The 12030-nt window shown below is 42.7% G+C and overlaps 1 protein-coding gene and 3 pseudogenes across 23 annotated transcripts in view; all 4 read left to right on the top strand.

Annotated features, from left to right (window-relative positions):
• The window catches only part of ZNF807P (zinc finger protein 807, pseudogene), a 135468-nt pseudogene that overhangs the window by 33130 nt on the left and 90308 nt on the right, over positions 1 to 12030 (top strand). The window lies entirely within an intron of this gene.
• The window catches only part of SCGB1B2P (secretoglobin family 1B member 2, pseudogene), a 100431-nt pseudogene that overhangs the window by 33130 nt on the left and 55271 nt on the right, over positions 1 to 12030 (top strand). Inside the window, exons 2-3 of one of the 14 annotated variants that reach the window (NR_170966.1) lie at positions 11390 to 11432; positions 11979 to 12022. The exons of 11 other annotated variants lie outside the window; for them this stretch is intronic. The product of NR_170966.1 is annotated as a secretoglobin family 1B member 2, pseudogene, transcript variant 11 (transcript). Of the gene's footprint in view, positions 1 to 11389; positions 11438 to 11978; positions 12023 to 12030 lie in introns of all 14 variants that reach the window. 2 more of the 14 variants (NR_170965.1, NR_170962.1) reach the window with 2 other exon arrangements.
• Positions 1 to 12030, top strand: part of SCGB2B2 (secretoglobin family 2B member 2) — a 91631-nt gene that overhangs the window by 33130 nt on the left and 46471 nt on the right. For 2 of the 7 annotated variants that reach the window (NR_170949.1, NR_170951.1), the window contains exons 2-3: positions 11390 to 11437; positions 11979 to 12022. The exons of 4 other annotated variants lie outside the window; for them this stretch is intronic. The gene's annotated coding sequence lies outside the window, so the exon portion shown is untranslated. The remainder of the gene's footprint in view (positions 1 to 11389; positions 11438 to 11978; positions 12023 to 12030) is intronic. One more of the 7 variants, NR_170950.1, reaches the window with a different exon arrangement.
• Positions 7898 to 9017, top strand: LOC100130632 (zinc finger protein 530-like; annotated as a pseudogene).

The raw sequence follows: 12030 nt of genomic DNA, 5'->3' as shown, positions 1-12030 counted from the left end.
TACTCATAAAGGTATAAATGTTATTCACAGATGGGATATATAGTACACTGTAATTACCTTTCCTACCTTCTTGTACAGCCTTTTTTCTTTTTCTGTAGAAAGTAATTGTCTTCTTTTTTTTTTCTGCTTAACTTTCTGACTTCTTGTGGATATTTAGACCTCACATTGTCCATCTTTATCTTCATCAGGTGTTCTACCAATTTTTCTCCTTAAATTAATATTTTTTTGAAACTTTTACTCAAATTTGGACTATCCTCATTGAACAGAAATTGTCTAATGTTCTCCTTTTACCATCATTCTAGGAATAGTTTTTTTTAATTGATACATAATATTTTCCATGTTTATGGAGTACATGAGGTATTTTGTTACAGGCATAGAATGTGTAATGATAAGGTCAGGGTATTTGAAGGGTCCATCGCTTGGAGTATTTATCATTTCTATGCATTGGGAACAATTCAAGTCCTCCCTTCCAGCTACTTTGAAATACACAATGTTTGGTTGTTAGTTATGGTCACTCTATTCTGCTATCGAATGATGGAACTTATGCCTTTTATCTAACTGTAGGCTTTCATGCGTTAACCTCCCTCTCTTCATCTCCCCCCACCCACACCCTTCCCAGCCTGTAGTGTCTATCCTTCTACTCTCTACCTTTATGAGGTCAACTTTTCTAGCTCCCACACATGATTGAGTGCATGTGGTATTTGTCTTTCTATGCCTGGGTTATTTCAAATAACATAATTTTCTCCAGTTCCATTCATGTTGCTGCAAAAGACATGATTTCACTCTTTTTTATAGTAATAATATAGGGATAGTATTCCATTGTGTATATGTACCACATTTTCTTTATCCATTCACCCACTGATGGACACTTAGGTTGAATGAGTATCTTGGCTATTGTGAACAGTGCTGTGATAAACATACAAGTGCAGGAATCCCTTTGATAGACTGACTTCCTCCTTTTCGGATAGATAACCGGTACTGGGATTGCTGGATTGTATGATAGTTTTAGTTTTAGTTTTCTGAGAAATGTCCATACTGTTTTCCATAGTGACTGTGCTAATTTACATTCCCACCAATAGTATCTAAGAGTTCATTTTTCTCCATATCCTCACTAGCGTCTGTTGGTTTTTGTCCTTTTAATAACAGCCATTCTAACTTGGGTGAAGTGATATTGCATTGTTTTTTATTTGTATTTCTCTGATAATTTGTGATTCTGAGCATTTTTTCATATACGTGTTGGTCATTTGTATGTCATCTTTAGAGAGATGTTGGTTCATGTCCTTTGCCCACTTTTTTTTTTTTTTTTTTTTTTTTTGAGACGGAGTCTTGCTCTGTCGCCCAGGCTGGAGTGCAGTGGCACGATCTCGACTCACTGCAACCTCCACCTCCTGGGTTCAAGCAATTCCCTGCCTCAGCCTCTCAAGTAGCTGGGATTACAAGGACCCGCCACCATGCCCGGCTAATTTTTTTGTATTTTTAGTAGAGACAGGGTTTCACCATGTTGGCCAGGCTAGTCTTGAACTCCTGACCTCGTGAGTCACCTGCCTTGGCCTCCCAAAGTGCTGGGCTTACAGGTGTGAGCCACCAGGCCCGGCCCCTTTGCCCACATTTAATGGGATTGTTTTTGGTGGTGTTTCAGTTCCTGCAACACAATCTGTTTTGAAGAAAACCTCACATATGTGCCATGGTACAATCTTTCAGCAGCTCCCTATGTTAGTTTTAGGGCCCACAAGGGTGGAGGGGCTCTCCTGTGGGTAGCATTGCAGGAGTCCCCAGTGATACTGAGGACACTGAGGATCTCCCACTAGCCCTTTGCCTTTATAGAAAAGAAAAACAAAATCCTTTGAGACAGAACTGATCTTTTATCGTCTGCTCAACTAAATTGCACAGAAAGAGAGGCTGGAAGCCTGTCGGGTAAGAAGTTTTTACCCTTTTTGCCAGCTTGTCAGCTTCCTGGGTTCCCTTCACTGCAGCTTCCAAAACAGCAGAGTGGCATTGGAGACCCTGCTTGCTGCACCAAAACTGTGGGGACAAGGCTCTTAGCCCCTGAAAGGTTTACTGTAAATCACTGACATGAGGAAGATTGATTTTTAGAAGAAATGGCATTCAAATTTATTTAATGTGTACATATGGGAGCCTTCAGAATGAAGACCTTTAGCTAATCTTTCCTAGATCTAGACTAGGAAAGATCTAGCAGGGTCCCTTCAAAATATGTCAAAGAAATATATTTTTGGGGTAAAATGATTTCTCTTAACTGGTCCTTGTTTCTAGTGCTGGAACTTGACTTTCTGCAGCTGCAGGAGTTTTAGTCGACATAAGAGGGGCCAAGAGTTGGTCAAACCTAACAGAAGATCAACCAAAACTAGAAATAGAAAAGGTGATCACCCAATTTACATACTGTCAAGATCTTTGAGCATAAAGAGAAGTTATAGCCATCTGGCAAACGACCTTGACCTTCCGCTACCAAATTCCAAAACGAAACTCCAAACCAGCTCCACGAGGACTCAAGATATGGAGACAGCCTCAGGCCAAATTTAGTTCAATTTGCCAATTCCCCACTTTGGGTCAGCCATTGGATTTTGACATAGTGACCAAAACCCTGGGCATTGACACTGTCTGTCACCATTGTATTAGACTTACTTGGCCTCAGCACGGAATTCACAAGTCATGATGTCAGATCAGTTAAATAATTGTATTCTTGCTGATCTAGCCAAAGGGAGACCATTCAGTGCACAATGGATGTCTGCATACACACATTTAAGATTTGACAGGATACAGTGCACCAGGGGGACTATTACGATGACTACCAGAAAATAATACCAAGAGACCAAAGTGTACTCCTTCACAGGAGGCCCTATGAACAAAACCAGTCAAAACCAAACAAGTCAAAGTCCAGGCATATAAGCAGCTCAATAGTATTTGAGTCCAATTGGTCATAATCTTTGTTTGGGGTGTGATGGTGATTAAGTATTCACCATCACACCCCGAATATATTCAATAATAAGTCAGGTTGCTGGGCTAGGGCATTAATAGTACCTATAAAGAAGGAAAAATTGAGAAGGGGAGACCTCAAATTAGTTTCCTTAGGAGATATAACCAAGTGGTGATAACTTCACTTTCCCAACCTTTTTAAAGTTGTATGAGCTCTAAGTCCCTGCATTTATAATTTCACATCTGGAAAAAAATAATAATAAAGAGGTATCAGTTTATGTCATTAGCCTGGTACTGTAAGTCATAGTAACCTGGAGACCCACCAGAAAAAAACATAAAGATTCAAAAACCCTGGAAAAGCTAAGCTTGCCATTCATGAAAAGTTTTGGACATCGATAGTGGTGATGGTGGCACAACATCGTGAATGTACTTAATGCCACTGAACTATACACTTAACATAGTTAAAATGATTAACTTCATGCTATGTATATTTTACCAGAGTTAAAAAAAATTTTTTTTCTTCATCTATTGAAATTTTCTTCATGTATTTGATAAAAGTATCTAAAGAAATAGCCACCTTTTAAATTAAGCTTTCCATAGTAGCAAAATCAGGGGAAGTGTAGATACAGCACTCAGTTTGATTCAGCACAAGTCCCCAACATGATCAAAATGATGTAAAGCTGCATGAGGCTGGGTGCAGGGGCTCACACCTGTAATCCCAGTACTTTGGGAGGCCAAGATGAGAGGATCACTTGAGCCCAGGAGTTTGAGACCAGCCTGGGCAACATAGGGAGACCCTGTCTCTATTTAAAAAAAAAAAGAGAAATTAAAAATTAGCCAGGTCTGGTGCACACCTGTGATCCCAGATACTCAGGAGGCTGAGGTGGGGGGATCCCTTGAGTCCAGGAGGTCGAGGCTGCAGTGAGCCCCACTGTATTCCCACCTGGGTGACACAGCAAGACCTTATCTCAAATAAATTAAGCTGCATGATATTCTATTAAGTGTTTTGTTAGATGCATAGGTTATCATCTACCTTTTGGAGGGTGGCTTCTACTGAACCACTGGAAGGTTTGGTTGGCCATAAAGTCCAAGATTTTCCCCAATTTATGGATCTGTTCTGAATTCCACACTACCAGCACCCTACTACCACCAAGAGCAAGCCCTCAGGAACCCCACTGGAACCTTTCCTCAGTAGAAACTAGCTTATCTTAGTCTCTTTCAAGGCCGATGATCATTTTGTTTACTGTTTTGGCCTCTGATTATGGAAGGTATTATGGGAACTGTCAGAGGAAGCTATTCAAAAGGCAGGAGTGAGACCCATCAAAGAGCAAGATCTAAACCAGTGAAGAGGAAGAAAGGGTAAGCAAATTCTCTGCGGACCCAAGATAGGTCCTCAAGCATTGGAAAAGAGCGCCTCCTGGTGGTGTTTGAGCAGAAGTAAGTTAAATTTGACCTGTAAGCCTGATGGCTCCTGAACAAAGTTCAGTGGGAAAATTCTTTGTGGTCCCTTTACAGCATGCTGTTAAGGTGTATAACCACATGAAGAAGGACCCTACTGGATTTGTTCTGGTGACATTATATAGCAATTACTTATGATACTATGCACGAATAGCCTGCATACATAGTCCCCAGATCTTGAGTATGTGATGCCTGGAAGCATAATACATCTTTTGCAGGCATCACTCGAATGTGTTTTCTATATTTGGTAGTGATTAGGTTACTAATTGGAAAGGTTAGGATATTGTTTCCAGCAAGTGTAGGAAAACAAGTGGTAGTGATGTCTAGAATATCAAGATAGCTTTCTGTTCTTCCTTTGGAGCGTCAGGGTGAATTGGGAACACAGGGAGGCATTGGCATTTGTGAAATTGCTTCTTGAGTTTTTGGCATTAACCCACAAGCCCAAGGATTACTCAAGTTTTTTGCTACAGAATAAGCCTTAGGTAAAGCTATCCACAGATTATGGTCCCATGGATTTTCCTGTAAGGAAAAGGAAATAATTGGGGCAGAAGAAAATTAGGGGAAAAAAAGTAAAAGGATACGGCTTTCAGGATGGAGGTAAGTCTTGGCCCATGGTCTTAGGAGAGCTGTACATATGTAAGATGCTGTCTGCTTCTGGAGAAAAACTTCAAGAGTCTGCAGAGGTCCCTTTGAATTGTGTGATGTAGATCTAAGGTTTGCAACCCTGAAGTTTTACTGCAATTTGGGTGGGAAGAAGAACTTGATATGGTCCCTTTTATTGGGGTTTAAGGGCAATCTTCCTCTGATATCATTTCCAGAAGACCCAATCTCCAGATTCCAAATCATGCAGGGCTTGATTGTTCTCATTGGTGGATCATGAAAAGCTTCCTTTACCTGGTGATAATATATTTTGGCATTAAACCTTTGAAGTATTTAGTCATATCAGAGTTTAAGAGAGTGAAATTCTATTATTAGGGGCATAAACTTTCCAGTGACTATTTTATCAGGGGCCAATTTATGCTTTCTGGTGGGGATGAATCTGATTGCTATCAAGGCCAATGGTAATACAGTTGGCCGTGGAAATATAATCAATTCAATGAGCTTTGCCGATTTCAGTTTTGTTTTTGTTTTTGTTTTTGTTGTTGTCATTGTTTGTTTTTTTGGGGGGGGATGGGTGTTCCTTTTTTTTTTTGTTTTGGAGACAGGATCTTCCTCTGTCATCCAGGCTGGAGTGCAGTGACGCAATCTTGGCTCACTGCAACCTTCACCTCCTGGATTCAAGCAATTCTCCTGCTTCAGCCTCCAGAGTAGCTGGGATTACAGGCATGCACCACAGGCTAATTTTTTGTATTTTTAGTAGAGATGGGGTTTTGCCATGTTGGCCAGGCTGGTCTCGAACTCCTGACCTCAAGTGATCTGCCCACCTCAGCTTCCAAAAGTGCTGGGATTGCAGGCGTGAGCCACTGCACCCAGCCCAATTTCAGTTTCAAAATGCCATTTGTCCTTTTGACCTTTCCAGAAGACTGAGGGTGATAAGGACAGTGTTAATGCCACTGTGTCCATGACATCTTATGTTATATAACTACTTTATAACTTGTCAAGTAAAATGGTCTCCCTTTATCACTGGGGATTTCTCCAGGGATGCCCCAGCAAGGAAACACATTTTCTAATAACTTTCTAATGACTTTTTAAACTACTGTCACAGCCTCAGCTTACCTACCTCTACCCAACCAGAAAACATTCAAACTCTTAAGAGAACATACTGATATGCCATTGAAGTTGGCAATTGAGAGAAATCCATCTGTCAATTTTTAAATAGCCCATCGGGTGGTGTATTCCCACCTGAAATTTTAATTGCCTTTCCAGAATTACGGGTTTGACAAACCAAACATTCATTATTTTCCTCTCTAGAGAGAGTTTTTGCCTTATAGATCTGATCAGGAAAAAATAAAAACCATATAAATAAATAACACAAAATATTTATTATCAACCATTTTAGCAATTTTAGAAAAATCACCCAGCCATTTTTTTTTTATGATTTTGCCTGTCTCATGATGAGTTGTGGAGTGTAGCACTTTTAAGAATTGAAGCTCGAGGGACTCACGATGGACCCGGTGTCTGTCTGCGATGTGATGCTGGAGAACTTTGCACTTGTGGCCTCGCTGGGTAAGTCCCTCATACCTCAGCATCCCAGGCTGGGCTCTTTGCTTCCGCTTTTTTCCAGGAGCTGCTGTTTCCTTCCCACAGCCAGGCTGTGGACATTGCTCCCTTCCTAGCTTTTCTTGCATAGATGCTGTGGGTGCCAGGGCTGGACTGAGTGCATTCTCTGTCCCCTCCCCAGGCAGCCCCACTACCTGGTGCCCTAAGGCCTTGCAGGGAAGGAGATGGGGGCCAGGAGTCTTGCAGTGAACCCAATAGATCCCACCAGGCTTGGCCTCGCCCTGGCAGAGTGACTATGCAGAATCATTGTACCTCTCTGCCCCCAATTCTGCCCCCTTCCCTCCTGGTGGCATTTCCTCATGCCTCACTGTGCTGGGAATTGCAGGACCAATGTGGTTACTATTTTCAGGGACCACTGGGCTGTTCCTATGGGATCTTCTTCTGAGGCTCTTTTTGTAATACTAGTTTTCTTTCCTGGGGTCTGTCATGGGGTGGGTTACTCTGCGCTCCTGCTGTCCACTCACCTGTCGTGTCTTTCCCTTAGGCCTTGCATCTTCCCAGACTCAGGTAGTTGTCCACTTGGGGCTGGAGGAAGAGACATGGATGCCTGACAAAGCTATGGGAGGAGGGACTCTGGCGGGGACTGGCTCTGGTAAGTGGGAAGTGAGGGATGGCTTAACGTCAGGGCTGAGTTCTCATGATTCCAGCAACCTTGCCAGTGTCCATCATTGTTTTTATACCAAGGGCAGGGGCCATAACTCTTTTCTATGTTTTGCATTCTTGACATTTTGCCCATTTCTCTTTCCTACACTGAATCTGGCCAGGGCCGACTCCCACCTCTCTGATTTCCAGGTCTCACCCCTTCCTTTCCACTGTTCCCTCTGCAGTGTTCTCTAACCCTGAGCTACACATAATGTTTTGTGAGATGTTCACATAGCCTAAGTAGTTCTTGAACAGCTACTCAGTTGCAGTTGGTTTTCCTGAGTCTGGACACACCCTTTTGTTCAGTGCTCCTGTGTCACCAGCAGACAAGCTCCTGCTAAAAGCCATTGCAGAGAAGTGAGAGGGAGATGCAGCCTCTCCTTCCTGGGCTGCATCCCATCGCTGTGCCCTTGCTCCTCCCTAGACCTCCCCATTGTATCATGATGCCAGGCTTAGCACAGTAGACTCTTTGTCACCTGTAACCCCCGTAGCCCCCCAAGAGTCCTGTGTACTTGTTCCTGCATTTGTAAGACACACACTGTGATAGGGCTGCCTCTCCCACGAAAGTCAGTCCTAGACCAGGAGTCTTGCAATGAACCCAGTAGATCCCACCAGGCTGTATGTATACTTCAATATTTCTTTGCTTTCAGGTTGTTGGTTTCTAATGGAGGATGAGGAGCCATCTTCTCAAGGAGTGTCACAGGTCAGGGCTCCTAAGGCAGGTCCAGCTGCCCAGAAAGCCTCCCCTTGTGGGATTTGTGGTCCAATCATGAAAGACATTTTGCTCTTGGCTGAGCATCAGGGAATACACCCCGGGCACAAACTGCACACACGGGGGGCATGTGGGAGACAATTCTGGGTCAGTACAGACACCCCCTAGCACCAGAGGCAGCACAGTGGAGAGAAATGCCTCAGCAGAGATAAGGATAGGGCTTTGTTAAGAACTGCAGAGTCTACATGTCAGTGAATCCCTTCACATGTGGGTACTGTGAGAAGGACCTCCTGCCCAGGTCAGGCCTTCTCCAGTACCAGACCCAGAATTCACCCAGAAATACTGAGTGCAAGGAGGCCTTTCACATTGGAGAAGGGTATCACAGGTGCAGTGAATGTGGGAAAGCCTTTAGCCACAGAAATAGGCTTTGTGAGCACCAGAGAGTCCACAGCAGAGAAAGACCTTACAAATGCAGTGAATGTGGGAAATTCTTCAGTCATAACTCTAGCCTTACTGTACACCAGAGAGTTCACATGGGTTTAAAGCCTTACGGGTGCAGCGAATGTGGGAAAGCCTACAGAAAAAGCTCCCATCTTGTTCAACACAAGAAAGTTCACGCTGGAGAGAGGCCTTATGGGTGCAGTGAATGTGGAAAAGCCTACAGCAGAAGCACCCACCTTGTTAGGCATAAAAACCTTCACACTGGAGAAAGGGCTTACAGATGCAGTGAATGTGGGAAAGCCTATAGCAGCAAACACACACTCATTCAGCACCAGAGAGTCCACACTGGAGAAAGTCCACACTGGAGTGCAGCAAATGTGCGAAATTATTTAGCCAGAATTCCAGCATGATTATACACCCGAGAGTTCCCAGTGGAGCCAGGCCTTATGAATGCAGTGAATGTGGGAAATCCTTTAGACAAAGCTATGGCCTTATTGAACACCAGAGAATTCACACTGGGGCAAAGCCTTATAAGTGTAGTGAATGTGGGAAATGCTTCAGCTGCAAAATCACACTTGCTCGGCATTGGAGAATCCACACTGGAGAAAGGCCTTATAAGTGCACTGAATGTGGGAAGGTTTTTAGCCAAATCTCTGGCCTTACTGCACATCAGAGAGTTCACACTGGTGAAAGGCTGTGAGTGCACAGAATGTGGGAAATCTTTTAGCCAAAGATCCAGCCTCATTTTACACCAGAGAGTTCACACTGGTGAAAGGCCCTATGTGTGCAGCGAATGTGGGAAAGCCTTCAGCGTTAAATCTATACTTGTTCAACACCTGAGAGTCCATACTAGAAAAAGACCTTATGAGTGTAGTGAATGTAGGAAATTATTTAGCCACAAGTCCAACCTCATTAAATATAAAAAAAAAATCACACTGGAGAAAAGGCTTAAACCAACAGCCTATGTGGTGCCAGAAAGTTCACCCTGGAGGAAGGCCTTGGAACGCAGGGAGGATGCTGTCTGCTTGGTCCACATAGTGGGTGACACCGGACAGAAGCTCTGAAAGTAGCTTTGTGTAGTAGCTATCAATCAGCCAAAAGTTAATCTCACATCTGGACATCCATGCTGGAGAGATTCCGTGTGAGTGCCAGGTAGGTGGGAAGCTTTCAGGAGTTGCATTGCACTTTCTAACCTGCCCAAGGCTCTTACCTGAGTTCTGTCACTGCCAGTACCTGTGGGAGAAGCCATTTCACCTCTACCAGCTGGCAAGTGTACCTTAGGTTACCCAGGGTGCTCAGTGAAGGCAGACCTCTGTACTCCCTCCGCTTCCCTGGAGGAAATCATGAGTGGGCTGAGGCCATTGCAGACCACCATAATTACATTCACATACTGCATGTGATTCATAGAGCTCAGGGCAACAAAATAGAGGGTATGTGCCCCATCTAAACATGCTTCCAGAGTGTGCTATAGCTGTGAGGCATGAGGGTACACAGATATTTTCAGGACTTCCAGATTTAGTCTCCTGTGCACAAGGTCAATGGCAGAGCAAATAATCTGAATGTGTTCTGGATTGCTGAGGCTGTTGTGGCTGTTCACCTCTAGGCCATTGCTACACAAGCAAGAAACGGGACAGAGAGGAGAGATCAGAGTCTAGGCATGTGACTTCTGTGACTCACAAACAAGCTTTATTGCTCGCTAGTCTTTGCTCCCATTGAAGCAGGGCTGTCCCTTCCAAAGAATGAGAATAGTTATGGAGTCCCTTATATATGTACTAAATTTTCTGGTTTTTCAAGAGAAGCAGGAGACCCAGATTTTTTATGTGGAGCCATTTTTTAAAGCTCTATTGAGATATTGTTGCGCAGTAAACTGTGCATATTTAAAATGTAAATGTATTAAGTGTTATCTAATGTGTACACCCAGGAAACCATCTCCATAATCATGATAATGAGCAGATTCATCACCTGCAAAGTCATCTCAGCCCCCTTTAAAATCCCTCTTTCCCTCCCTCCCTGGCACCCCATTGCCACAAACATTGATTTACTGTCTTTTGCTGTAGACTTATTTTCTTTTTCTAAAACTTTACATAAATGGAATAACAAAATGCTGTTTTTTGCTTTTTTCTCACTCAGCATAATTATTTTGAGATTCCTCCATGTTGCATGTGTCAACACTTCATTGTTTTATTACAGACTCGTGTATAGCTTTATATAGATACTCCACAATTTTGCTGCTCATTTGTTAAAGGACATTTGGATTGCTTCTAGTTTGGGGCTATTACAAATAAAGCTGCTATCAACATTCATGTACTAGTCTTTCTTATATGTTAATACCTAGGAGTAACAGGACTGAGTGTTTCATTTCTACCTGTGGGATGTTAATTTATACAGGTGACTAAGTGACAACACAGAGAAGCCAGTGCCATTGAAATAATTCACCATTCACATTTTCCAAGAGAAGGAAAGGCATCGTGCCACAGAGGGCCACATGGAAAGCACCAGTGTTGGTCAGGAGGCAGGAGCAAGGGGAAAACATAGGCCACAGCCTTTATTGGGGTTTCCATGGAAAAGACCAGGCAGGGCAGAGTAAGCAGCTTGTGATTAGCTAGTTTGCATAATTTCAGCAGGCTTTGGCCTACAGGGTTGGTCTCTGGTTACCTGGTACTTGGTCCTGGGGTGCTTTAGTGCAGGAGAGATATTGGCGTGGGGTGTGAGAGTTGGATAAAGAGGTAATTGGGGCTGTAGACTCTAGACTGGTTGGCTGTATATGAGAGAGGTGCTCTGGGTCAAGGCTTTTGCCATCTCTAAGAAAGGGCTAGCCCTGGGAGGGGCAGTCTCTCCAGAGCCAGCAAACTTTTAAAGATGTCACCATAAAATACAGAAAATAAGCATAAGCACACCAACTTACAGGGTAAGTGGATGTTTACCTTTTTCAAACTGACAAATTGTGTTCCAAAGTGGTTATACTATTTTATATTCTCTCCACAGTGTTACGAGGATTTCAGGAACTCCATGTCCTCACCAACACTTGGTATGGTCAGTGTTTAATTTTCACCATTCTCATTTGGTGTGTAGTGGTATTTCTCTGTGATTTTACTTTGTATCCCCCTAATGACTAATGTTTACAATTTTTATGTGTACTACTGCCATCCCTCTGTCTTCTTTGGACTTTTAAGTGTTCAAATCTTTTGCCCATTTAAACTCTTTTCTTTATTATTGAGTTTTGAGGGTTCTTAATAAGTATTGAATACAAGTCCTCCTTCAGATATGTGATTTGCCAGTATAGTCTTCTAGCCTATGGATCTTTTTTACCTTCATCTTAACAGTCTGTCCTATAGCAGAAAATTTTACTGTTGACAAAGTTGAATGTGTTATTTTTCCTTTGATTGAACATATTTTTGGTACATATCTCAGAAGTATTTGCCAAGATTTAAGAAATTATCTCATGTTACTTAATTAAAGTTTTGTACTTTTAGGTTTATAATCCATTTTGAGGTAGTTCTTGAATATTGTATACCATGTGAGGTTTGGGGTCACAGCTTTACAGTGTTGTTTTTTGGTTTTTGTTTTAATACAGATGTCCAGTTCATTCAACAACATTTCTTTAAAACACGATCTTCAGTGAGTTG

Source organism: Homo sapiens, chromosome 19, assembly GCF_000001405.40.
Source record: "Homo sapiens chromosome 19, GRCh38.p14 Primary Assembly".
Taxonomy (NCBI): domain Eukaryota; kingdom Metazoa; phylum Chordata; class Mammalia; order Primates; family Hominidae; genus Homo; species Homo sapiens.
The sequence above is the reverse complement of the archived record's forward strand: the minus strand, read 5'-3'. Positions and strand labels throughout refer to the sequence as shown.